This window comes from Homo sapiens, chromosome 8, assembly GCF_000001405.40.
Source record: "Homo sapiens chromosome 8, GRCh38.p14 Primary Assembly".
Classification (NCBI taxonomy): domain Eukaryota; kingdom Metazoa; phylum Chordata; class Mammalia; order Primates; family Hominidae; genus Homo; species Homo sapiens.
Window position 1 is genome coordinate 9,532,825 of NC_000008.11, and position 27,922 is coordinate 9,560,746.

The following is a 27,922-nucleotide window of genomic DNA, read 5'->3' on the forward strand; positions in this document are numbered from 1 at the left end:
TAGGAAAGTAAAATAGGAAATAAGTAGGAAGAATCCAGACTTTCAAGTTGGACAAACTGAAGACGGTGGGCTGTAAAGGAGATTTATGGGGAAATCATAAGCTACCTTTGTGCGGGGCACTTTGAGAAGCATTGTAGTGTGTTCTTGATAAATTGATGCTATTAATATCATTCTTTTTGTTTTAGATAGAGTCTCGCTCTGTCACCAGGCTGGAGTGCAGTGGTGTGATCTCTGCTCACTGCAAGCTCCACCTCCTGGGTTCACACCATTCTCCCGCCTCAGCCTCCTGAGTAGCTGGGACTACAGGCTCCTGCCACCACGCCCGGCTATTTTTTTTTTTTTTTTTGTATTTTTAGTAGAGACAAGGTTTCACCGTTTTAGCCAGGATGGTCTCGATCTGCTGACCTTGTGATCCGCCCACCTTGGGCTTCCAAAGTGCTGGGATTACAGGCATAAGCCACCGTGCCCAACCAATATCGTTCTTATTATATTATTGCAGTGTACCTCTGAAAGGTGTTCTTTTAGTAAACTCTTACTTTCTGATTATTTATATCTGCTTTGAATTCACATGAACAGTAAGCACCTGACTATTCTCAAAATCTGTCAAGAACCACTAGGCTCCTATCTTAATCTGTGTCTCTGTCACTCCAGAGCTCCCCCTTCCTCTAATAATGGTCCCCCTTGGTAGGTGTTTTCTTCAGGTCTCCTCTAACTCTTGAAGCCTGAATAGTGATGATTATAAGCTCTCCAGTGTTAATCAAGGCTTACAATATTAAGCCAGCCAAATCTATAAAATCTTAGTGTAATTAAAGTTAAGCACCTCTTTTTGTGCTTGAAAAAAGCCATAATGATGCTCTTGCTCTTTAGAAAGTGTTGGCTGAAGTCTATAGATTTTCAATGAGTTAAAATTTCCCAAGATTTGTTTCTCAGAGGGCCAAAAGAAAGACGATAAAAAGGATTTGAGAGTACTGCATTGGCAAGAATTGTAAAGATAATTACCCACATTAGTCACCTTTTATCCATTTTCTTTCCGTTTTTTTCTGAAAAAAAAAAAAAAAAGTGAAAGGGAATCCAATACAACACTCTGTGATAATGGAACAGATCCCTTCATGAACTAAGTACACTTGAGATACAAATCCAAATGGCACTCTCTAGCTGCCAGCTGATGTTCAAATATTCAGTTCAAGTTAGGAACTGAGATGACCCTATATACAGATACTAATCAGGAGTATTCATTAGACCTTCATCTTCAGTGTCCTTGGGTTGGTTTGGAGCTCTCTCAAGGGAGTTTATGGTATGATTTTGAGCACTCTGCTTACAGAATGCAATGAGCTGTGCTGCATTCTGCCTGCTTCCAGTAGCACACGGGCTTGGGCAAGCAGACAGCAGCTCCACCAGTACTTACAATGCCATGAATACCATTCACCATTTAGAATGAGGTCTGGGTAATCAATGACAGTACTTCATGAATACACACTGCATCTTACTGGCTGATTAGTTTTTATAAGATGTCTCTGATGTTTTCAGTGTTGGACAAAATAACAGAACTACTGTTGCTGAAGATGTGATTCCATGAAGCCTTCAGTATAGTAGACTTGGTGTGTATTTGCACACCTCGACATAGGACCCATAGCAAGGGGTTATATTCAAAATATGTAATAACCTGTGTGGCCTGGGCACAAATCAGTAAAGAAGTCAGCCACCAACTGACAGGTAGCTCCTCTTCTACTTTTCAGATGGACATCAAGCTCTGCTTGTGTTGGGTTCAGCGTTACATGACCTCTACCAAAGACTGATTACAAGCCCCAGCACCCAAATGAGGAGGCTAAGTCATCTTGAGGTCTTACATACAGAGGTAGAGATAGAATAGTGCCTACAGGTGCAAGGAGTGTAAAAAATTATCTTTGGCTGGGCACAGTGGCTCACGCCTATAATCCCAGCACCTTGGGAGGCTGAGGCAGGTGGATCATGAGGTCAGGAGTTCGAGACCAGCCTGGCCAACATGGTGAAACCCCACCTCTACTAAAAATACAAAAATTAGCCGGGCATGGTGGCTGGTGCCTGTAATCCCAGCTACTTGGGAAGCTGAGGCAGGATAATTGCTTGAACCCAGAAGGCAGAGACTGCAGTGAGCTGAGATCGTGCCACTGCACTCCAGCCTGGGCAACAGAGCATGACTCCGTCTCAAAAAAAAAAACTATCTTTATGGTCCCTTATTGAACTCTGAATTTTTGAAAGGATAGCATCTCTTGCCAGAGGAAAAAAGTTCCATTGTAGCAACTCTCTACAATTGTGATCACATGTACTTTAACTTAGCATATATTTTGGCAAAACACTTTGAAGAAAGGGATCAAATTCTGCCGCTAGAAAGAGAACCCATTTTGGCCGGGCGCGGTGGCTCACACCTGTAGTCCCAGCACTTTGGAAGGCTGAGGTGGGCGGATCACGAGGTCAGGAGATCAAGACCATCCTGGCTAACACAGTGAGACTCCGTCTCTACTAAAAATACAAAATAGCCAGGCATGGTGGTGGACGCCTGTAGTCCCACCTAATGGGGAGGCTGAGGCAGGAGAATGGTGTGAACCCGGGAGGCAGAGCTTGCAGTGAGCTGAGATCACATCACCACACTCCAGCCTGGGTGACAGAGCGCGACTCCATCTCAAAAAAAGAAAGAGAACCCATTTTTCATAATGCCGCAGTTTAGGCCAGTCTGATAAGTTCCGGTATACCAGAAGACAGAGCCACGCTGGTCTCACACGAAATTAGGTTGCACATGTACTTATTTTCTTTTCTTTTCCTTGTTTTTTTTTTTTTTTTTTTTTTTTTTGAGGGGGAGGCTCGCTCTGTTGCCCAGGCTGGAGTGCAGTGGTGTAATCTCAGCTTAATGCAAACTCTGTCTCCTGGGTTCACACCATTCTCCTGCCTCAGCCTCCCAAGTAGCTGGGACTACAGGTGCCTGCCACCCACACCCAGCTAATTTTTTGTATTTTTAGTAGAGACGAGGTTTCACCGTGTTAGCCAGGATGGTCTTGATCTCCTGACCTTGTGACCCGCCTGCCTCGGCCTCCCAAAGTGCTGGGATTACAGGTGTGAGCCACCGCGCCAGGGCGCACGTGTACATGTTTTCTTCCTGAGCACTGAGCCAGATGCAGGAACTCTGAGGGATGGAGAGCACAGCAGGAAAGTGGAGATGGAACCAATTCTTTCCTGTCTGTATGCCGCAATAGCCAACCACTCCTTTGTGGTACCTGTAATTATTCCTACTCAAAGTTATCTTTGCATATATAGCATGTAAAGTTTGAGTTTTAGGGAGGTACAGTGGGAAACATGGGATTAGAGAAGTCAGCCTCTGGAAATAATGAGTAGTGACATATACTGGAACATTATTCAGTACCACGCTTACCTAGAAAAAGTGAAAGAGCCTAGAGTATAAGCAAGGTGGTGGAGGTTGTGGCAAAAGAGAAATCCATTGTGTAAAAGATCCAGCTCCTACCATCTCAGGAATAAAAGGATGATAAGATTAAATACCCCTTCCCCAATTGTAGGGATTCAAATATATAATAGAAATAATATTTGAGGACCTTTTCTTATTTATTAAAAAGATAAACAGGTCGGGTGCAGTAACTCACACCTGTAATCCCAGCACTTTAGGAAGACGAGGCAGAAGGATCACTTGAGGTCAGGAGTTTGAGACCAGCCTTGAAATACAGTAAGCCCTTATATCTTCAAAAAAAAAAAAAAAAAAGAAAAGAAAAGAAAAGAAAGAAAGAAAAGAAAAAAAGAAAAAGAAAAAAAAATGGTGGCGTGCACCTGAGCGACTTGGGAGACTGAGGCAGGAGGATCACTTGAGCCTAAGAGTTCAAGGCTGCACAGTGAGCAATGATTATGCCACTGCTCTCCATGGTGATACCATGTCTCTAAAAAATAAAATAAACAATGTTATATTTTGGAGTACAATTTTTTAAGAATAGTCTTGTTTTATAGTATACATGAACATGATAATAAAATCGTAGAGAAATGGAACTTGTTGGAAAGTTAAAACTGCCCCCTCACCAGCTTGAGCCTGCTTTAGAAACTGGTAGTAGAAGAAGGAACACATGGTCATTAATTCCTGCCCTGAATTCCTCCTCTTCCTCACCTAGCCTGGTGAGTGTGAGGATTAATTTTATATGTCAGCTTGACTGGACTAAGGGAGCCCCAGATAGCTGATACAAGATTATTTCTGGATGTGTCTGTGAGAGTTTTTGCAGAAGAGATTAGCATTTAAATCCATGGACTCAGTAAAGATCACCCTCACCAGTGCAGGCAGGCATCATGCAATCAGTTGAGGGCTGGAATAGAACAAAAAGATGGAGGAAGGGCAAATTCACTCTCTCTGCTTGTGTTGGGACATCCATCTTCTGCCCGAAGCCATTGGCACTCCTGGTTCTCAGACTTTCAGTCTCAGACTGGGAACACCATTGCCAACCCTCTCCACATCCCCCCACCCCTCCCCAATTCTCAGGCCTTTGGACTTGGACTGAATTACACTACCAGCTTTCCTTGTACTCCAGCATGCAGATGGTAGATCTAGGAGCTTACTGGTCTCCATAACCAAGTAAGCCAATTCCTACAATGAATCCCTATCTATCTATCTATCTATCTATCTATCTATCTATCTATCTATCCATCTATCCATTCATCTATGTGTGTATCTATGTATCTATCTATGTATCTATCCATCCATCCATGTATCTATCTATCTATATCTATCTATCTATCTATCTATCTATCTATCTATCTATCTATCTATCTATCCATCCATCCATCCCTGTATCTCTTCATCTACTCATCTATGTATGGATGGATGAATGTATCTGTGTATCTATCTATCTATATCTATCTATCCATCCACATATCTATCCATCTATCCATTCATCCATCTATGTATCTATCCATCTACCCATCCATTTATTCATCCATGCATCTATTCATCCAACCATGTATCTATCCATCTGTCCATGTATGTGTGTATGTATGTATGTATCTATCTATCTATCTCCTACCGGATCTGTTAACTCTAGAGAACCTAGACTAATACCATAGTCATAGATTCTGATGTCCCCAAAATTAATGCAGGGAAGGGAGGAGTTGTGAAGGAGAGAAAAATATGACTTTTTGGTGCCCTCTGAGAACAATAGATGTTTTAAAACTCTATGTAGGATGGATGATCGAAATCGACTTCATTTTGGGGGTGCCTTGTGGGCTCTTCAGAGACCCAACTTACTATACTGAACTCCATTCCCTGTCATTTTCTTCGACTGCCTGCTTGCATGGTCTCCCACAGTCTCTAGTAATCTGTTGGTCCACCGTCTGAGGCAATGCTTTTGAGCAGATTGCAAAATAGCTCCAGATTAACTCTCTTCATCCCTCAGGCCAGCTTCTGCCTCATGAAAACTATTTGCACAACCTTACCCACATCCAGCTCCCCATCCCAGTGCAGCCCAGTGTGTATTTTTCTGTTCTGCTACCTCAAGTGGACAATCAAACCCTCTCACCCTAAATGTCTCAGGTGCATGTCAGAAATCAGTCCACTCGTTTGCAGCAAACTCCAGGGTTCACACGTAGGGCCCTCTGAATGGCCTATTTGAAGAGAGAAGTGGGGACCACTATTCCCCACTCTCATGAGTGCAGTGGTGCTATCATAGCTCACTGCATCCTTGGCCTCCTGGGCTCAAGTGATCCTCCAACCTCAGCCTTCCAAGTAGCTGGAACTACAGACGTGAGCCACCAGGCCTGGCTAATTTTTTATAGTCCCTTCCTTTGCAAGTTGTGGATGGATGGTATAGTAATTTGATTTGTGTGGCACACTTGTTATCTATTGTCTTGCTTACTCAGTCAAAACCAAGACTGAAAGTCACATGTTAACATCCTGTTGCTCTTAGCATTTACCTGAATAGAAACAAGATACCAGAAACAGACTATTAAAATCTAAGAAGACAGACTCTTCAACTGCAAGTTTAATGCTCATTTGTATCACTTGCCACCCTCCCTCCCTCTCCCACTGTCTAAGTCAGTTTGGGCTGCTACAACAAAAATATAGACTGGGTGGCTGCAATAACAAACATTTATTTTTTCACCGTCTGGAAGCTGCGAGGTCCAAGATCAAGGCACTGGCAGATTCAGTGTCTGGTAAGAATCTGCTTCCTGGCTTTCTTGTTGTATACTCACACTGGCAAGGGCTGTGAGGTGGAGGATAGAGAGGGAGAAGGAAGAAAGGAGGGAGAGCTCTCATTTTTCTTCTTCTAAGGACATTAATTTCAACATAAGGGCTCTATTCTTTTGACCTAATTACCCTCCGCCAAAGACCTCATCTTTAAATATCATCACATTGGGATTAGAATTTTTCTTTTCTTTTTTTTTTTTAGATAGTGTCTCACTCTGTCACCCAGACTGGAGTGCAGTGGTGTGATCTCAGCCTACTCTAACCCCTGCCTCCCAGGCTCAAGCTATCCTCCCACATGCGCCTCCTGAGTAGCTGGGACGACAGGCACGCATCTCTGCACTGAGCTAATTTTTCTTTTTTCTTTCACTTTTTCTTTTTTTTTTGAGATAGAATCTCGCTCTGTCACCCAGGCTGGAGTGCAGTGGTGCGATCTCAGCTCACTGCAAACTCTGCCTCCCGGGTTCATGCCATTCTTCTGCCTCAGCCTCCCAAGTAGCTGGGACTACAGGCGCCTGCCACCATGCCCGGCTAATTTTTTTCTGTTTTTAGTAGAGACGGGGTTTCACTGTGTTAGCCAGAATGGTCTCGATCTCCTGACCTCGTGATCCGCCCGCCTCGGCCTCCCAAAGTGCTGGGATTACAGGCGTGAGCCACCGCACCAGGCCCCAGCTAATTTTTCTATTTTTTGTAGGGAAGGGGTTTCGCTATGCTGCCTAGGTTGGTCTTGAACTCATGGGCTTAAGCAAATCTACCAGCAGGCCTAGGATTTCCACATATAAATTTTGAGGAGAGACGTTCGGTCCATAGCACCCACTCTTTTATATAATATACTAAAAAAAAAAAGACTTAAAAATTAAGCTTATCTTTTGAATTACTATAAAAAAATAAGGTTTTGAAGTTCATCCAGAAACACAAAAGAAACTAAAATGCTTACACAGGTACACTCAGGTGACAAAGATATAAAGAAAAACAAGGAAATAATTATCATATAAAAGTCAGGGTAGTGGTTATCATAGAAGAAGAATAAAAAGAAGCCCCAGCAGGGATTCTGGGGTGCTGAGAATGCTTGCTTTATTTAGATGATGCTTAGCTGTTTAATAATAATCTGTTAAAATGTACACTGGTGTTTTGTGCAATTTCTCTGTGTATGCTGTATTTCATAATTTAAAATGTATTAATCGTTCCATTATTACTAAAAATTGCAATGGACTGGGCTGGAGGAGGGGATAGCAGAGTGAAAGCACAGAGATGAGGGTGAAAATTATTTCACTAGTCCACATACATGAGGTTGGTAACTTGAACTAGATCGGTGGTGGAAGAAATGGTAAAACAGGCTAAGATTCACACTATATTTACAGGATTGAGTTTCTAGGACTTTCTGGTGGCTTAGCTGTGGATGTGGTGGAATGGAAGATGTTAATAAATAAAACAGAGACATTAAGGGAGACACTTAGGGTCCTGGACTTACCAAATGGATGAAGGAATGGCTCCATTTACTAAGATGGAGGAGACTAAGATGAAAACAGATTTTGAGAGAAAGAAAGAATAATTTGGTTATAGGTAAGTTAAATGTAAGACGCTTCTGGACACTGAAGTAGAGATGTTGAGTACGTAGTTGGAGACATATTCCATGGATTAAGGAATAAGTCTTGGCTGAAATAATCTTTTGGACCAAAGACAATTTCTTTAATTTTCTAGATTATGACTTCAATATATCTTTTACCTTTTGTTTCTATTACCAATCTTATGGTTTACAGTTGGAATTCCTCTTACTGACCGTTAGGGACATCATTTTCTCTTGCACTATTCTCATCTCTATAAATAACGTAAATGTGACTGGAAATCCCGTGTCAATTTACCCTTAGCACATGGATTGGTCTGCTTGAGCTGCCATCACAAAATGCCAGACTGGGAGGCTTAAACAACAAATTTATTTTTTCACAATTCTGAAGACTCGGAGTCTAAGGATGCCAGTATGGCTAGGTTCTGATGAGGGGATCTTCCTGGCTTCCAAAAGGATGCCTTTCTGCTGGGTGCTCACATGGCAAAGACAGAGGAAAACTCTCTGGTGTCTCATCCTATAAGGGCACTGCTATAGTGTAGATATTTGTCTCCTCCTAACCTCATGTTAAAATTTGAGACTCAGTATTGGAGGTGGGGCCCAATAGGAGGGGTGTGCATCATGGGGGCAGATTTCTCGTGAATGGTTTTGTGCTGTCCTAGTGGTAATGAGTGAGTTCTCACTCTTTTAGTCCCCCCGCAAAAACTGGGTTTTTGTTTTTGTTTTAAGAATGAGTTTCGCTGTTGTTACCCAGGCTGGAGTGCAGTGGCATGATCTCAGCTCACTGCAACCTCCGCCTCCCTGGTGCAAGCGATTCTCCTGCCTCAGCCTCCCAAGTAGCTGGGATTACAGGCGCTTGCCACCATGACCAGCTAATTTCTGTATTTTTAGTAGAGACGGGGTTTCAACATGTTGGCCAGACTGGTCTCGAACTCCTGATCTCAGGTGATCCGCCCGCCTTGGCCTCCCAAAATGCTAGGATTACAGGAGTGAGCCACCACGCCCAGCCTAAAAGCTGGTTGTTAAAAAAACCCAGCACCTTCTCCCTCTCTCTTGCTTCCAGTCTGGCCACATCGTCTCTGACATGCGAGCTCCCCTTCACCTTCCACCATAAATGGAAGCAGCCTGAAGCCCTGACCAGAAACAAATGCTGGTGCCATGGTTCTTGTACAGCCTGCAGAATCATGAGCCAAATAAACCTCTTTTCTTCATAAATACCCCAGCTCCAGGTATTCCTTTATAGCAATGCAAATGGACTAAGACAGGCCCTAATCCCGTAATGAAGGCCCCACCTTTGTGACCTGATCTATACCTAATTACCTTCCAAAGGCCCCATCTCCAAATACCATCACATTGAGGGGTAGGGCTTCAACACAGGAATTTTAGGAGACACAATCCAGTCTATAGCAGCACAGTTCATTGTCTCTTCTGCTATATCAGTTCTCCCTATTAGGTTTTATTGAGGTTTGGGCCTTTAGATTTAATATGGTTTTTCTGCATGGCTGAATTTCCTTTTTACAATCGTTGTTTCTTCCTTTTTTTCTTTTTAAGACCAAGGGCATGAATACAGGGGATCACTACACAGGCAGTCAACTACAATCTTCTAGATAGTTGTACTAACAGTATAGTTGTCATTTTGTAATGTGTAATTTTTTTCTTTTTTTGTGAGACAGAGTCTCACTCTGTTGCCCAGGCTGGAGTGCAGTGGCGCAATCTCGGCTCACTGCAAGCTCCGCCTCTCAAGTGCACGCCATTCTCCTGCCTCAGCCTCCCGAGTAGCTGGGACTACAGGCGCCCGCCCCCATGCCTGGCTAATTTTTTGTATTTTTAGTAGAGAGGGGTTTTACCATATTAGCCTGGATGGTCTCGATCTCCTGACCTCATGATCTGCCCCCCTCGGCCTCCCAAAGTGCTGGGATTGTTACAGGCATGAGCCACCGCGCCCGGCCGTAATGTGTATTTTTTTTTATTATTATTAGTGGAGGCATAAAAAAGGAAGCTAACATTAATTGAAGGCTTATTATGTACCAATCTCTGTGCTTTGCATTTTATATCCGTTAATTTATTGATTCTTTAACAGAAACCTAGCAATTATTGTACACATTGGCAGTTGGGGAAACTGAGCCTCAGATAATTTGCCAAAGTTACACAGTACATGATTAGAAGAATCATGATGCAAACAAAAACACGACAGCAAAGCCTGTTCTTTCTACTATCCCTTGTCACCACATGGTGAAAGAGGAAGGACAATATGTTAGATTTACGTTCTTTTATTTTTATTTTTATTTTTTTTGAGACAGAGTCTCACTCAGTCACCCAGGCTGGAGTGCAATGGCACAATCTCAGCTCACTGCAAACTCCACCTCCTGGGTTCAAATGGTTCTCCTGCCTCAGCCTCCCAAGTAGCTGGGACTACAGGCGTGTGTCACCATGCCCAGCTAGTTTTTGTATTTTTAATAGAGACAGAGTTTCTCCATGTTGGCCAGGCTGGTCTCGAACTTCTGACCTCAAGTGATGTGCCCACCTTGGCCTCCCAAAGTGCTGGGATTACAGGCATAAGCCACCGTGCCCGGCCCGCTTTTGTAAGTGTTTTTCCATGTGTTGACATAATCTCCATATTTGTTGTTTTAATAGAACTGCATGATTCTATCAAATTAATGTCTTAATTTGAATAATCAATCTCTAATTGCTTATGTTTGATTTCTTTTTATTTGTTTATTTACAGGCAGGGTCTCACTCTGCTACCCAGGCAGGAGTGCGGTGGTGTGATCATAGCTCACTGCAGCCTCAAACTCCTGGGCTCAAGCAATCCTCCCACCCCAGCCTCCTGAGTAGCTGCAACTACAGGTGTGTATCACCATGTACAGCCAATTTTTAAATTTTGCTTTGTACAGTGGGATCTCACTGTGTTGCCCAGGCTGGTCTTGAACTCCTGGATTCAAGCGATCCTCCCCCCTCAGCCTTCCAAAGTGCTGGGATGCCAAGTGTGAGCCACCACATTCTGTCCATGTTTTATATTGCTTCCAGTTTTTCACTCTTAAAAATAATTCTACTATAAAAATACCTGGTTTTTATTCTCATAAATTATTTCTTCAGGGTAAATTCTCTGTGGTTTTCTGCCATAAAGGAATATGATTTAATAATCTTTTTCCTTGTGAGAGCTTATGCTGTGAAAAACAAAAGGAGATAACTCCTACTTTTAAGGAGCCTCTAAGTTAATTTTTTCCTCATCCTTCTTTGTCAAGCATTCTGAGGAACTTGCTAGATGTGTAAGCATTACAATAACTTAGTATATAGGTACTATTTATTTACAAAACTATATGGTGCTCTTCTAATGTGAACTAAACTGATACAAATAACCTTTACATTTTACCACAAAAAATTAACAAACATTTAAAAATGTCTTTGTCTTTTTGTAATAGCTTTTTCGGGATATACCATATTGACTTAAAGCGTTCGAGTCAATGATTTTGAGTATATTCACAGACTTGTGTAGCCACCACCATCAATTTTAGAACATATGCTTATTTCAGGGAGCTGGCTTATGTGATCATGGAGAATGGCAAGTCTGAAATCTATGGGTAGGCTGCAGCCAACCAGTGGAAAACTCTTGGGCAGGAGCTGATAATGCAGTTTTCAGTCAACATTTCTTTTTCTTGAGGGACACCTCAGTTTTACCCTTAAGCCTCTTCTACTGATTGGATGAGGTCCACCCACATTATTGGCAAAAATTGCCTTAAAGTTAGCTGACTCTAGATGTTTAAAATAGCTACAAAATATCTTTACAGCAACACTAAATTATTGTTTGATTGAATAATTGAGTGCTATAGCCTAGCCAAGATGACACATAAAACCAAGCACCACAGTCCACCCCCATCAGCGTGGCACCCATACACATCTCCTTAAACCATATTTAATCTCCAGATAAAGACAATAAGAAAGTTATATTTCTGCCCAACATGATGCAATTATACTATGTACAACCAAAAATGTGCAACCTTTTCTGCAGAAGAGAATGCAACATCCCTGGATCACTCAGTTCATTCTTCTCCTTGACATCCTGCAACTTAAATACTATGACATAAGGTTCATTATTATGAATACATCTTATGTTAGCTGATAAGGTGATAAGAGAAGGAAGAAAGCAAAGAAGTATATACATATATTACAACAAAGTAGGAAGAAGTACTCATAACATTTACAGTCCTAATTTCTGCGACTGGTCAAGAGTTGGAGCTGGTATTTACAACTACTTCTTTTCATTCCCCATTCCCTATTTCCTTTGGCCACAGCAGACACCTCAGCTGATCATAGTTCTTTGCTTGGTATGGTGACCAGATTTTCACTTCTGAAAGACCTGAATTGGGCTGTTGTAGTTTTATTTTATTTTTTTCATTGACTTTAATCAAAGGGCAGAATAACACTAAAAGAATCACCTAAGGGATCTACAGGGGTCTCCTGTATTCCAGATTTTCTCTTCCTTACCTCCATTTTGTAGTAGTAGCCCAAATTCTCCTTGGTAATTAGGAGCAATGATCCCGGAAAGTATACTAACTCCCTTCTTTACCTGTTAATTCAGATGCATGAGGAGCTCAAAGTGGCTGGGTGGCAGTCTTAACTCCCAGCTCAGTGGAATAATTAATGTGTCTCCTGGTGGAAGCATTCCTTACTTTGGAACTACAACTTCTTAAACCAGCAGAATCTAAGATCACAGGGACAGGAGGCAAAAATTTTGTTAGTGAATCAGTAGGGTTAATAGTGAGTGGTGCCACTCCCACTTCCACCCTTTGATTCCTGAACCTGTGAATCCTGGCTATGGGAGAAAAAACACCATATGCTAAATGCTGAATTAGAGCATATACATCCTCTTGGAGAATCTTGCCTCTGCTCTGCAAAGTGTTACCACTGACTCAGTTAGAGACTCAGTGATCTGAATCTCTTCAAAAAGCCATTCCACGGTTCTATCAAGACACCTGTTTCAGGATAATGGGGACATGGTAAGATCAGTGAATTCCATGGCAATTGGCCCATTTCCATACTTAATTTGCTGTGAAAATGAGTTACTTAATCAGAAGCAAGACTTCTTACAATGCTTGTACCATGACAGTAGCTAAGGCAGTCTATAAGTCTACAGATGGCAGTTTTGGCAGAAGCACTGTATACAGAAAAGGCAAACACATATCTAGAATAAGTGTCTAGTGCAATAAGAATAAAACACCATCTATTACAGGATGCAAATGGTTCAGTATAATCAGCCTGCTTCCAGGTAACTGGCTGATCACCCCAGAAAGTGGTGCCATACTGGGGACTTAGTTTTGATGTCTGATGCTAGCAGATTGGGCACTCAGCAGTGATTATAGCCAAGTCGGTTTGGTGAGTGGAAGTCCATACATAACCTTCGTCCTTGCCACTATGGCCATTTTGTGCATGAGTCCATTAGGTAATAACAGGAGTAGCTGGGGGAAAAGGCTGGCTGGCATTCACAGAATGAGTCATCCTGTCCACTTGGTTATTAAAATCCTCCTCTGCTGAGCCCATCTTTTGGTGAGCATTCACATGGTGCACGAATGTCTTCAGGTTTTTTTTGCCTATCCAGAGAAGCCTATTGTATTAGTTTGTTTTCACACTGCTGTAAAGAACTGCTGGAGACTGGGTAATTTACATAGGAAAGAGGTTTAATTGACTCACAGTTCAGCATGGCTGGGCGACTTTAGGAAATTTACCATCATGGCAGAAGGTGAAGAGGAAGCAAGGCACCTTCTTCACAAGGTGGCAGGAAGGAGGAGTGCCAAGTGAAGAGGGAAAGAGCTCCTTATAAAACCAGCAGCTCTCATGAGAACTCACTATAATGAGAACAGCATGGGGGAAACCATCCCCATGACTCAATTACCTCCATTTAGTCTCTCCCTTGACACATGGGGATTATAATTCAAGATGAGATTTGGGTGGGGACACAAAGCCTTACCATATCACTGTCTATATGCCAGAGTTCTGGCAGGGCATGGTGGTTCCAACCTGTAATCACAGTACTGTGGGAGGCTGAGGCAGGCAGATTGTTTGAGGTCAGGGGTTTGAGACCAGCCTGACCAACATGGTGAAACCACCCCGTATTACAAATACAAAATTTAGCCAGGCGTGGTGGAGCATGCCTGTAGTCCCAGCTACTCCAGAGGCTGAGGTGGGAGAATCACTTGAACTTGGGAGGCGGAGGTGGCAGTGAGCCGAGATTGCACAACTGCATTCCAACCTGGGCGACAGAGGGAGACTCCATCTCAGAACAAAACAAAACAAAACAAAACAAAACAAAGCAAAACAAAAAGAATATACCAGCCTTCATTGTCATTAATTTTTCAACTAGTTCCTTCTAAGGCTCTAACTATTCAGACAAACCATTGGCCACAGCTCATGAATTGGTATGTAACTACACATTTGGCCATTTCTCCTTCCAAGCAAAATGAACAACCAGATTTACTGTCGGAAATTCAACTCTCTGGGAGGATATCCCTTCACTAATGGCCTTCAGGGCTGTCCCAGAGAGGGGCTGCAGTGCTGCAACTGTCCATTTTCAGATAGTGCCTGCATATCCTGAAGAAACATCTATAAACCGGACTCAAATGTTCTCCTCCTCAACTGATTTTAGGGAGCACCCCATGATGCCAAAAATTTGGGCTGGGAGAGAGAAAATAATGTAGGAAAAGTGAGAGCTATGGGCACTTGGGCCATTTCCTCATTTAACTTACTTGTGCCCTCAGGGCCTGTTGAGCCTAATCTCATAACTGTCACTTCCATTTGATGATGGAGTATTGCTGTGGATGCACAACTTCATGGCTTGGCGGGTCAGACAATACTCAGCTCATGATGGGCAGTGCAGGTCTCATGGTAACTTGGTGATCATGGGTAGGTGTTCAGTCTCTAGTACTGAAAGCCTAATAGCAAGCAAATTTCTCGAAAGGAGAGTAGTTATCCACAGAGGATGGCAGGGCTTTGCTCCAAAATCCCAAGCAGCTGCACTGTGATTCACCTAGAGGGGCCTGCCAAAGGTGCAAACAGCATCCCGCTCTGCCACTGACACCTCAAGCGCCATTATATCTGCTGGATCACACAGCCCATGTGGCAGAGCACCTTGCATGACAGCCTGCATCTGTTGCAGAGCCTTCTCTTGCTCTGGACCCAAAACTAGCAGCTTTTGGGGGTTACTCAGTAAATAGGCTGGAGTCACACATTCTATTGAGGAATATGTTGCCCCCAAAATCCTCAGAGTTTCACTAAAAGGGTTCGACTCTTTTTGAGTTGAAGAAAGGGACATATGCAACTTTTCCTTCATGTTACAAGAGATATCTTGACATGCTCCACAACCCTGGACCCCTAGAAACTTCACTGGGGTAGAAGTCTCCACATTTTTGTTGGACTCACTTCTCACCCTCTATTATTATGTAAATGTTTTACCAATGACTCTAGCATAGTTGCTACTTCTTGCTCACTAGATCTAATCGGCATAATGTCATCATCAATGTAATGGACCAGTGTGATGTCTTGTGGAAGAAAAAGGTGGTCAGAGTCCTAGTGGATTAAATTATCCACAGGGACAGCATTGACCCTATTACAGCTCTCTGACTGGATATGGTGCTTTATCATCTGCTTTGTCTTTCCATGTGCTAAACCAACCCAAATTTGCCCCCTAGAACAGGCATCTCTCTCCTCTTCATATAAGGCATGCCATGGCATCTCATTGTAGTAGTCTGAATAGTGGGCCCTTGAATATGTCCACATCCTCACCCCTGAAACCCATAAACGCTACCTTATATGGCAAAAGGGACTTTGTAGATGTGATTAAGGATTTTGAGATGGGACATTATCCTGGATTATCTGGGTGGGTCCAATGTCACCGTCATTTTTGGAGACAGGGTCTCACTCTGTCGCCCAGGCTGGAGTCCAGCTGCGTGATCTTGGCTCACTGCAGCATCTACTTCCCCAGGCTCAGGTGATCCTCCCATGTCAGCCTCCCAAGTAGCTGGAACTGCAGGGGTGCACCACCATGCCTGGCTAATTTTTGTATTTTTCAGGACACAGGATTTCGCCATGTTGCCCAGGCTGGTCTCAAACTCCTGGGCTCAAGTGATGCTCTCACCTTGGCCTCTCACAGTGCTGGGATTACAGGCGTGGGCCCACCACGCCTGACCACAATGGTCCTTTTAAGAGTGCAGTAGGAGTAGGGAGAGTCAAACAGAAGATGATGGGATGGAACCAGAGATGAGTGATGTGCTTTTAGGACGTAGGAAAAGGTCACAAGCCAAAGACTACAGGCAGCCACTAGAAGCTGAAAAAGTCAAGGAAAGAGATTCTCCCCTCAAAGCTCTCAGAAGAAAATTCTCCCCAAAGTCCTCATAAGATGCCAACATTGCCGATGCCTTGACTTTAGCCCAGTGAAACTGATTCCAAACTTCTGCCCCAGAACCGTAGGAGAATACATTTGTATTGTACCGTTTCAAGGCACTAAGTCTGTGGTCATTTGTTATAGCAGCTATAGGGGACTAGTATACCCAGCCTCTTAACTGAGTAAAGCCAGAAAGATGTACATGAACAAAAGGAACGATGGAGAATAATTGCCCTCTGGTAATACCAAGTGGCAGAAACTATGCCACTTCAGTCTATTGTCCTGTATAAAAATAGGCTGATGGCTTCATATCACCTGATTTTCCAAAGAGGGCATGTATTAGTTTTCTTTTGCTGCTGTAACAAATTATCACAAACATAGTAGCTTAACACAAATATATTTTACAGTTCTGCAGTCATAAATCTGGCATTGGTACCATTGGGCTAAAATCAAGGTGTTAGCAGGATTGAGTTATTTTCTGGGGGCTCTAGGGAAGAATCTGTTTCCTTTTCTTTTGCAACTTCCAGAGACTGCTCACATTCCTTGGCTTGTGGATTCTTCCATCACCTTCAAAGCCAGCACTGACTGGTTGAGTCTTCACATGGTATTACTTTCAACCTCCTTCTGTGTCTCCCTTTTGTACCTATAAGGATGCTGATGATTACATTAGGCCCACTCACATAATCCAGGAAAGTCTCCCTGTTCTAAAGTCTGTTGATTAGCAAGCTTAAATTCCATCTTCGATGTTCATTCCACTTTGCCACATAAAGTAACATATCTGCAGCTTCCAGAGATTTGGACTTGAGTATCTTTGAGGTGCCATTATTCTGCCCACCTTAAATGTGGATATAAAAATACATTGTAGATTGCTGTATTATCTGTAGTCTTTGATTTTTTTAGGTTTTCTGTTTTTTCTCTCATGTTGTTGGCCCTCTCTCATGTGTGGTGATTCAAGGTTGTAAATTCATCTTCTGTGGGATGTTCCTTCTGCAAACATCCTGGACCACACTGACTTCAGGAATTATGGCTGTGTTGGTTTCTCTTGAGGTGGTCTTGGCAGCTGTGGTGGTTTTCCACACAACAGAGATGGTTTCTCAGCACTGCAGGGAGGAATATGTTTGAGAGAAACCTGCCTACCTCAGGCTGAGGTGCCTTCCTTTGTAGAGTTTCTATCTCTCCTAAATCCTGACCACAGCCAGAAGGGACTATTTGCATTTCCCTTAATATAAGAGTCCCTTTTCATTTCCAAGCTTATTAGACCTTCCTTTAAGACACTGTAAAGCAAAAGCAGCAGCATGCATGGGAAGCCAAATAACAACAATATTGAGTAAAAGGAGACCTGCTTGTTGTTGGGCAGACAAGACTAGTGTCTCTTAGGTGACCTTTATACAAAGTATATCCCATCCCTGTTCTTGATAACAATAAAAGCTGACACTTACATTCCATTTATCACATGCCAGAAACTGTTTATTGCACTTGGCATATATTAACTTACTAATTTCTCAGAACAACTATTAATGTCTCTACTTCGTGTCTCTACTTTGCAGGTGAGTTTACAAAGAGGTTGTGTTAGTTTGTTCTCACACTGCTACACGGACATACCAGAGACTGGGTAATGTATAAAGGAAAGAGGTTTAATTGACTCACCGTTCCACAGGGCTGGGGAGGCCTCAGGAAACCTACAATGATGGCAGAAGGGGAAGCAAACATGTCCTTCTTCACATGGTGGCAGCAAGGAGAAATGCAGAGCAAAATGGGGAAACGCCCCTTATAAAACCATCAGATCTCATGAGAACGCACTCATTATCATGAGAACAGCATGAGGGTAACCATCCCCATGACTAAATTACCTTCTACGAGGTCCCTCCCATGACATGTGGGGACTGGGGAACTATAATTCAAGATGAGATTTGAGTGGGGACACAGCCAAACCATACCAGAGGTTAAATGACTTATCCTGGATTGTACAGTATTTTTTTCTGAGCAACTCAGCATCAAAAGACCTAGGTTCAGGATATGGAGGAATAGGTAATACCAAGAGAAGTTACACACATACACCACTTAAACAGCTTTCATTCATTTCCTTCTTTCAACAAGCCAAGTAACAACAGCAAGCAAGTAAAAGGAGATAGTGGGTGGAAGGCACATACCACATGTTTGGGGATTGATTAATGCCTCTCACTGCCTGGGCTGCCACTCATTCTCAGCCGGTATTTCTGATGGTCTCTGCTGGCAGATGTCTTTGCCCCAATCTTTGCCATTGGTTGGAGTCACCTCACGGTCAGTATGTGGTAGTCACGACCCCTCAAGCAGTGGCGGGAATCCACATTCATCATGGCTTGGTGGGTTGTCCCCATGTTCTGATTGGGGAGGGTGAGTCCTCTGGGTGCCTTGCAGTCTCTTGGTTTGCAGTTGCATCAGCTCTATTCTGGTTAGCTATATCCATCTGCATAAGCCATTACATCATTATATATGCGTTGTTGGCTAGTTATACCCTTCCATATCCATGCATTTCAGGACTTTCTGAGCCTTTTCTAAACATGGTTATGACTTTGGGGGAGGGCAGGTGTTTATCTCTTTTGAGTGATATAGTCATATGCAAATCCGTAATGGGGTATACATGTATGATTTTAATTACTTTTGGAAAAAAAGCTTACAAGGAAAGGAACATTTTTGGTGGGAAAACTTGTTTATCTTCTTTTTTTAAAGCACAGCAAATAGATTTTTATTTATTCCTGTTAAAATGTATGATGTAATATCCTTTAATCATACGAAGCTAGTTAGTGACAAAGCTAGGATTCATATCCAAGCAGTCTGTATGTGGAATCCACACCTTTAACCACCTCTCTGCCCGGAACTAACTCTCTGCCTGGAACTAACACTTCAAATTAAACCGACTACCCATGAGCGTACAGACCATAGCCAGAAAAAATCCAAGTTATCTCAGTGCAGGCTACAGATGTCTTTGGAGCAGCAGCCAGAAGACCCTGGTATGTAAGAGCTATCTTATAAAGCTACTAAAACTTTAATGGGAGAGTTGCTAAGAAACTGATACAGAGGATATCTTTAAATTACTGTAATTTTGCTGTCTTGTAATAAGTTGTTTTACCTGTTTTTTTTTTGGTAAAGCTTTTTCTGATACAATGTTGTTAGTACGATTGCAGCTGTTGGCATCATTGCCCATCTGTGGTTTTGTAAAAAAATATTCACCTGGGTTTCTGGATGGAACTTCAACTAAGAGAACGCAACACTTTTATAGAGAAATCTGGGCCCTTGGCACCATAGACATTTCTGACATAAAAATAACTTATTATGTTTCGGTAAGACCAAAAATGAGGAAATGACATGCCTCAGCCAAACCACAGCTCTGGCTTGTGCTCGTGGATTTGCGGAGGAGGCATTGCAGAGGGGATCGAAGAATAACTAGACTTAGTAGAAATACTACCAGAATACCAAATACGGTGGGAGATCAATGGGAAGTATATGGATGGAATGACACACCAATTCCAGTTGAAATATGGAACTTGTGCAAGTTCATGATTGTGTAATTTTCAGAGTGTCCATGCGAACCCCATAGGGTAAGAAAGCAAACATCAGAACACAGCCCAAAAGATCGGTGTCCTTTGAGTTGGTGGCTTTTCTTTTGTGTCAACAGTATAGCCTAAGAGAGTGCTATGTGCTCCCATTTTTGTAGTACTTGGGTATACTTTGTGTGTGTGTGTGTGTGTGTGTGTGTGTGTAGACAGGGTCTCACTTTGTTGCCCAGGCTGATCTTTGATCTTGATTTTTTGGGATCAAGCATTCTCCTGCCTCAGCTTCCCAAAATGCTGGGATTATAAGTGTGAGCCACTGTACTCGGCCAGGATATTGTTTTTGTGAAAACGCTTATGAAAATAAGATACTACACACCTGTGATCAACAATAGTTTAGAGACAGAGTTTATAAAGAATCCTGAATTATCAGATAAGGAAAGAATTAAACCTAATGTTTCTTTGCTTTAGATTCCCATTCTGTGTAAAACGATGGATATTTATTCCCAGCCCCTATCTTTGTCACAAAGGAAGTTGCGAGGGGAAAGCTATCAATAGTGGCTGTGAGTTCATGTTAACACTTTATGCATGCCATGTAAGAGAACGGATCTAACATTCAAAGAGTGCTTAAAAAACACCTAGGCTTTTAATCCTCATGACAGTGCTAAACTAAGGTCAACATTTTAGGCTGAGAGAGCTGAAGCATACCTATCAAGATTAGCCAACTAGTAATCATCAGAGATGTGACTTTCAAGCCCAGGTTTGTTTGACCCCAAGCTTTGCTCTTTCCACTATGATATAGTGCATTCCTCCTGGAATTGTGTTTAGCCACAGAAGATTAGGTAATAGCATGTGTCCTTTCATGTTTGGAGCTCAACATTAGTCGGTATAAACCCAAACTTCATAAATACTTAATGTTAAGTACTTTTCCTACTTTCTGCTCGAGGGGAAGAAAGCAATTTCCAGTTGATTGAATGCATTTCCAGACATGGTTTTCCAGTCCAGTTTCAGGCAATTTAGTTTTTTGTTTTTTGTTTGTTTGTTTGTTTTGCTGAGACAATGTTGCTCTGCCACCCAGGCTGGAGTGCAGTGGCACGATTTCGGCTCACTGCAACCTCTGCCTCCTGGGTTCAAGCCATCCTCCTGCCTCAGCCTCCGCAGTAGCTGGGATTACAGGCGCGCACCACCACGCCCAACTAATTTTTGTATTTTTAGTAGAGATGGGGTTTCCTCATGTTGGCCAGGCTGGTCTGGAACTCCTGACCTCGTGATCTGCCCACCTTGGCCTCCCAAAGTGCTGGGATTACAGGTGTGAGCTACTGGGCCTGGCCGGCAATTTAGTTTTTAAAAATCTCTGTCCAGCAGAGACTTCCTTATTTTATTGTTATTATTATTTTTTGTACTGATAGACACAACAGATGCATTTTGAATAAGTCTGAACATCACTACTTTCTATGAGTAACTGACCACTGGGAGACCAGATGAGATATTTCTTATGCCTCCCATTCCAGGAGGCCATTATTTAGGGGACACATGGTGTGTTATGGATATCTAACATATCATGTTGGATCACTCCCACTTCTCAATGGTTCTCTGCTGTACATCAAGAAGTTAAGATTAAAAAACAGAAGCATGAAGAAGAATGTTGTGGACTGATTTTAGTTGCACTGATGTGAGTTTTCCTATCCAGCTACACTTTTTGTCCGGTGTCTACTGCGAACAATGGCACATTTCATCACACAGCTGGATAATGTTAAGAATTATAATCTGTAACCCCAGATTAGATGAAAATAAATGCCACTCGTAATACTAATTATGTTCCTGACCTTATTGTATTTACTTACTAACCCCAAATAAACTCATCTATTTACTTAAATGGGAATATTAACATCACATAAATCATATTTAACAATGAACACATGAAACAATTTATCACCTAGTTTAATATTCTGCTTGACTCATCTAAATCTTGTTTCTCTTACAGAATTTCCATCTGTGTCCACTCTATTGGAATAATGCTGTTTCTGTATACTTCTACAATGCCTGCTTTACTATTGAACAGTAGGTATGAAATGGAGTCCTCAATGGGATTATCTCATTCATGGATACATCTTTTGATAGTAGAAAAACAAAAGTATACATAGGTTGGGGGAAAGACAGAAAAAGCAGTTGCTGAAAAATAGCACCTGATGGTGAGTAATGGACAGCAATCAGGTTTTTGTTATGTTTTCTTGTTGTTTTTGTGACAGGGTCTCCGCCCTCTGTCACCCAGGCTGGAGTGCAGTGGTGTGACCTCGGCTCACAGCAACCTCTGCCTCCCGGGCTCAAGTGATCCTCCCAACAGACTCCTGAGTAGCTGGGACTACACGCATGTGCCACTTTGCCCAGCTAATCTGTGTATTTTTTGTAGAGATGGAGCTTCGCCGTGATGGCCAGGCTGATCTTGAACTCCCGGGCTCAAGTGGCCCGCCGGCCTCGGCCTCCCAAAGTGCTAGGATTACAGGCATGAGCCACCGTGACCAGCCTAGCAATCAGGTTTTTATCTGTTTCGGGTGTGGGAGAGGCTAAGCTAAGCCAGAATTCAAAAGAAAGGAATATATTCATAATTAGTTACACTTAGGGTGAAAAATAAAATTTCAGAGAGAGCAGAATAGGAAAAAAAAATCATAATTTTAATAATTCACACTTATTGCACTATTGTTATTTCAATTTTACAGAGAAAAACAGGCATAGAGTGATGAAATAGCAAGTACATATATAAACAACAAATGGCAGAGCTGGAACGCCAATCCTAGCAATCTGAACCAGCATTTAAAAACGAGGAATTAAAGCACATAGGGTGAGAAAAATTATAGGGAAGGGACAAGAGCTCAAGGGGACACCTGGAAAAGAAATACTATAATTTAAAAAATTACCAACGGGCTAATTATACTTGTGTTTTACTGGCAGAGCGCTTTGTCTGTTAGCTCTTTTAATCCCGCTAATAATTCTGTGAGGTTGGTACTATAAGTTCCATTTTTCAGACAAGGACGCTTAATAGATGATAACGGACACATTCCCTGCTTGCTCTGATCTGCATCTCAACAGCTGGCTCTGGAGCAAGCAAAGGGAGACTAAGGGAAACAGAGCGGAGCAGGGCAAAGAAAGCCGACTGAAAGTGAGAAATGCAGGAAATGTTTCCCATCTAGGCAGAAGCTGGTTCCAGCATTCAAATCTCTCCAGCCGGCCCGCCACCACGTCACAAAGCCCGCCTCTCAGTGACAAAGCCCCGCCCCGTTCCCTTGGCTGTTCTCTGAGCTCCCAATACTTCCCTCCTTCTCTTTGGCCCCTGCTACCCCGCCTAGCATCATTTCCTGTGCGCTGGATGCTGATTGGTCCGACAGTCGGAAGTGAGGGCGGGCGGTGGGGGCCGTTGCCGCAGTGACAGTGCTAGGGGAGTCCGAAGATGGCGGCGTCGCGTCGCTCTCAGCATCATCACCACCATCATCAACAACAGCTCCAGCCCGCCCCAGGGGCTTCAGCGCCGCCGCCGCCACCTCCTCCCCCACTCAGCCCTGGCCTGGCCCCGGGGACCACCCCAGCCTCTCCCACGGCCAGCGGCCTGGCCCCCTTCGCCTCCCCGCGGCACGGCCTAGCGCTGCCGGAGGGGGATGGCAGTCGGGATCCGCCCGACAGGCCCCGATCCCCGGACCCGGTTGACGGTACCAGCTGTTGCAGTACCACCAGCACAATCTGTACCGTCGCCGCCGCTCCCGTGGTCCCAGCGGTTTCTACTTCATCTGCCGCTGGGGTCGCTCCCAACCCAGCCGGCAGTGGCAGTAACAATTCACCGTCGTCCTCTTCTTCCCCGACTTCTTCCTCATCTTCCTCTCCATCCTCCCCTGGATCGAGCTTGGCGGAGAGCCCCGAGGCGGCCGGAGTTAGCAGCACAGCACCACTGGGGCCTGGGGCAGCAGGACCTGGGACAGGGGTCCCAGCAGTGAGCGGGGCCCTACGGGAACTGCTGGAGGCCTGTCGCAATGGGGACGTGTCCCGGGTAAAGAGGCTGGTGGACGCGGCAAACGTAAATGCAAAGGACATGGCCGGCCGGAAGTCTTCTCCCCTGCACTTCGCTGCAGGTCAGAGACTTTTGAATTGTTTATTAAGGGTTATGGGTTTGGGTGCAGGGTCCGGTTAGGACAAGAAAACAGGTTATTGTGATGGGACAAAGTGGGGGCGTGGTTATGGTTCTTCATCACCTCACCAGAAGACTGGAGGTTCCTTTCTTTTGGTGGTGCCTGGGTGATGGGGGCGTGGTTGGGGGGGATAAGTGAATCCAAGGAATTCTTCAGTGGTTGCACAGTACTCATTACAAAACTCACTGTAGTTGGTAGTCTCTGCATATGGATATATTTACACTTTAGTTTTTGGTGTGCAGGAATACAGTTAGATTTGGACAGCTTTAGAGTAGTTTTGTCGTTTGTGTGCTAGTTTATTTTGTTTTTACAAGGGTATGTCCTTTGAGGACAGTCCAGACCAAAAGAGGTTTAATACAACCCAACACATGTTTGAGGATCTATTGTAGCCTTAATAACCCAATGAAAGACATAAATGAAGTGTTTGAAAGTTTCCCTTCTTCTAAAGAAGTTTGCAGTCTAGACGGGGAGACCAAAATATGCCAATGTGAAACAACTGGAGAAGAATATTTGGATGCATTATATGATGATGGAAGAAATATAGGCTTTGATGTTGTGGCCACTATTATTTGTTGTCTAGCAGACCATTTACCTCGTGTCAGTTGCCTCAGTTTTCTCATGGGCAAAAATCATAAAATGATGTTGTGCGAGCATTTGGTGAGAAGTATCTGGCACAAAGTTCTCCCTCAAAAAGTGTGAATTTCTTAAGCTCTGGACCCCACACTTGTCTTTTTTTTTTTTTTTGCAAGTAGTTGATGATTTTCTCTCAAAGACACCTAATAATATGTTTATAAAATAAAGAGAACTGTAAAATAAAAACAAAGGACCATAATCTCACTGCCTGGATACCTATTGTTGATATTTTAAAAATGTAGGTAATAATGTTTTATACATTAGAAACATTATATTGGAAATACATATATTGTACGTTATACAATTCAAATAGGACAGAAAAATACAAAATGAAAGGCATCACACAGAAACATCAGAGATAACACACCAGAGATAACTTCTGTTAAGTTTCTCCTATATTTCTAATATATATATATATCACTTCTTCAGTTTGTTCTGTTAACAGTAAAACATGTGTTGACCCACTGTAGTATTTATTTTTACCACACTTGGGAGATATGATTAACCATTTTACAGATGACAAAAGTGAAGCATATATCGATCGCTTAAATAAGTCCAAATTCAGTCAGGAAATAGTGGAAATTGAGTTTGAATTCAGGCAGTTTGATTTTAGAGCTTGTGAAATCAAACTTAAACTGTCAGAACCCTGGATTAAGGTCACTTTTCATTTTTGTGAGTAATTGAAGTGTAGAGTTCCCAATTTTTGGGAGAAGTAGTAATGCGGAGGGGCTTATATGCAAGAGAGTAGCTTTCACATGTTTTTTATTGTAGCCCATACTTAGAAATACATTTTACATTGTCACATACGCAACTGAATCAAAAGTTTCTGGAAACAATACTTTCCCTTAATACATGTGTTGTCCTCTGATATTTTATATTTTATTCTGTTTCATTTTTAGCAAATGCTGCTTGTGATCCATTAATGGGTCGTGACCAGTGGTATGAGAAACACTTAAAGGAAATCATTGTTAGGTCACTGGATTCATTATTGATATACAGACACTACTTATTAGGAATGCAGTGAATTGAATCAGAAACAGACTTTTGCCTATTTGTTTGCTCAAGGGTCTTGCTTGTTTTAGATGAAATAGCATTTCTTTTTCCTTAGGCTAAATGAAAGGCCTAAGTCTGATTTTATTAATCAACAGAGGTGTCTACTTTTGCATACTTTATTCCAAGTTTGCCTATTTTAACAAATTGCGTCACAAATCATGTCATTTCTCACCATCCCACTTTATGCGTAATCACCAATAAATGATAGTTATATTTATGTGTATTAATGTATTTAGGATAAGTCACACAAAATAGTGCTTGTTTCTCAAATCACGTGTCTTCTATTTGCCACAATAGTTACTTGTTATTCTGTTTCAGAGTTTTATGTATATCCAGATAAGCTAGAAGATAAACAATCAAACAGTACCGTAATTATGTTGTAGTTATGACAAGCTAACCTTGAATTGGCTTTTTAAGAAAGTTTTTAGCTCAGTTGTGGAAAACACAGTAATAAAATTCTCGATATGAAAACATAATGTCCTGTAGTCAGTTTGCCACGCTTCCGTGATTGAATTCGTAACATTAAAGTTTTATTAAACTTTAGTCTTCTTTATCATGTATAGGCTGAGAAATGAAAAAAATTATCAGTTGACTGGTTATTATGATAGTAATTGAATTGTCACGGAATAGCTGTTTTAAAGATGAGAAATTGGTACAATCCCTTGGATGGAAAAATTTAAAAACTGCAGTTTATTTGTTCCAGAAATATTTTAGTGTGCTTAGATGATCGGGTGTTAAATACTGACACAATTGTGTAATGGCAAGCAGCCCTTAACCCTTATGGAGCTTACAGTCTAGTGGGGAAGCATAAACAACAACAACAACAAAAACCTATAAAGTATCTAGTGTCTAATCTAGAGTGATAGGAAACGTATATTATACTGTCTGTCCCAATATGTAATAGGAGCTCTTATCCTTGTTTTAGAGCAGTTAAGGAAGTCTTTGTAGGTAGATTTTTTTAAAGCAGGAATTAAAAGGGTGAGCCCAAGCTAGCCAAGCAAAGGTTGGAAGGGACGATGTTAACTAATGCTTTTATTTATTTTTAAAAATGAGTTTACAGTTCTATAGAATGAAATGAAACAATTTTTTTTTCTTTCCAACTTTTAGGTTCAGGGATTACATGTGCAGGTTTGTTACATGGGTAAATTGTGAATCTTGGGGGCTTTAGTGTACAGATTATTTCATCACCTAGGCAATGAGCATAGTAGCAGATAGGTAGTTTTTTGATTTTCAGCCTCCCCCATCCCTACCCTCCACCCTTAAGTAAGCCCCAGTGTGTATTCTTCCCTTGTCTGTGTCCATGTGTACTCAAGGTTTAGCTCCCACTTACTTAAGTGAGAACATGTGGTATTTGGAAATCATTTTTAAAGATCTCAGATGTGGTATGAAACCATATTTAAATCCTTATCACTTTATTTATATTACCTTAAGAATAATCATATTCTTTCCAGCAGTAAAATTAAGAATCCTTTGTATCCTATCTTGGATTGTGATAATTTGTTTAGAATATGGTTTAGAGACTGTGTTAATAATGGAATCATCCTATCTGCAGTTAAGACAAAATCTTGTTTCCATTGTTGATACAGGTTCTCAAAATACTATTTTTGATGCCTTTGTAAGATGGCTTTGTAAAGATGAGCCATTCTTTTATTGTTGACTAGAATTTATATGAGACTTTTTCTTCTACAGATGTGGTCCTTGACCCTGGTTTTCTATTATTTAAAGTATAGCAGTCAAAATAGTTTTATAAATAGTACCAATTTAGAGTGATACCTCCTTAGGATGGTTTCTAGTAGTGACATATTTTTGTTAAAGGACCCATATATTCTGAAGACGTCTCTTTTTATAGAAAAGTTTAAATGAGGTCTTTTTTTTATTAAGGCCTTAGTAAAACATTAAATTCTGAGATTTTATAGTATTTACATGAAATTGAAGAAATCTTGAAATGGGCTTCCTGTTAGTTAACATATACGACTTGGATTATGATAGGTAATGTGAGGTATTTTAAAATAAAAACTAGTTTTCTTTGTTGGGTTTTGTTTTTAATGGTATCTACTACAATACATATTTAACAGTACAGAGATTTTTCAACTCATTCCTGACTCTTCTCTAGATTTTTCAGCATGGCCATACTTGTCTTTTTTTTTTTTTTTTTTTTTTTTTTTTTTCATTTCTCGCCTTTGTACAAATGTCGTTCCTGTTAATAATAGAAGTCACCATATACTCTAGATTGTTGCCTATCAGTGGGTAATAAAATGAGTCAGAATGCTGCAGTCTTGGAGTGGGAATTATCTTACACTTCTCGTTGCCTGGCAAGATCCTTTATATTACTTGTAAGCAAATGCCCTGTCTGAGGATGTAAGAAGGGTCTAATTTGGTAATAGAAGAAAG

General features: G+C 42.0%; 1 protein-coding gene across 3 annotated transcripts in view, besides 4 other annotated features; it reads left to right on the forward strand.

The window, feature by feature from the left end:
• Positions 19,556-19,715: an enhancer, noted in NCBI's record as "active region_26983". NCBI's record gives its function as "activates an Ori minimal core promoter by ATAC-STARR-seq in GM12878 lymphoblastoid cells {active_cell/tissue: GM12878}" and the evidence as "EXISTENCE:reporter gene assay evidence [ECO:0000049][PMID:35858748]".
• Positions 22,771-23,432: an enhancer, noted in NCBI's record as "OCT4-NANOG-H3K27ac-H3K4me1 hESC enhancer chr8:9413105-9413766 (GRCh37/hg19 assembly coordinates)". NCBI's record gives its function as "activates a minimal SCP1, AML or CMV promoter by ChIP-STARR-seq in naive H9 embryonic stem cells {active_cell/tissue: H9 hESC(naive)}" and the evidence as "EXISTENCE:reporter gene assay evidence [ECO:0000049][PMID:30033119]".
• TNKS (tankyrase) overlaps positions 23,088-27,922 on the forward strand; it is a 226,435-nt gene continuing 221,600 nt past the window's right edge. For all 3 annotated transcript variants that reach the window (NM_003747.3, XM_011543845.4, XM_011543846.4), the window contains exon 1: positions 23,088-23,788. In NM_003747.3, coding sequence (NP_003738.2) covers positions 23,116-23,788 — 673 coding nt within the window. In that variant the 5' untranslated portion in view covers positions 23,088-23,115. The remainder of the gene's footprint in view (positions 23,789-27,922) is intronic.
• Positions 23,191-23,350: a silencer, noted in NCBI's record as "silent region_18907". NCBI's record gives its function as "represses an Ori minimal core promoter by ATAC-STARR-seq in GM12878 lymphoblastoid cells {active_cell/tissue: GM12878}" and the evidence as "EXISTENCE:reporter gene assay evidence [ECO:0000049][PMID:35858748]".
• Positions 23,433-24,092: an enhancer, noted in NCBI's record as "NANOG-H3K27ac-H3K4me1 hESC enhancer chr8:9413767-9414426 (GRCh37/hg19 assembly coordinates)". NCBI's record gives its function as "activates a minimal SCP1, AML or CMV promoter by ChIP-STARR-seq in naive H9 embryonic stem cells {active_cell/tissue: H9 hESC(naive)}" and the evidence as "EXISTENCE:reporter gene assay evidence [ECO:0000049][PMID:30033119]".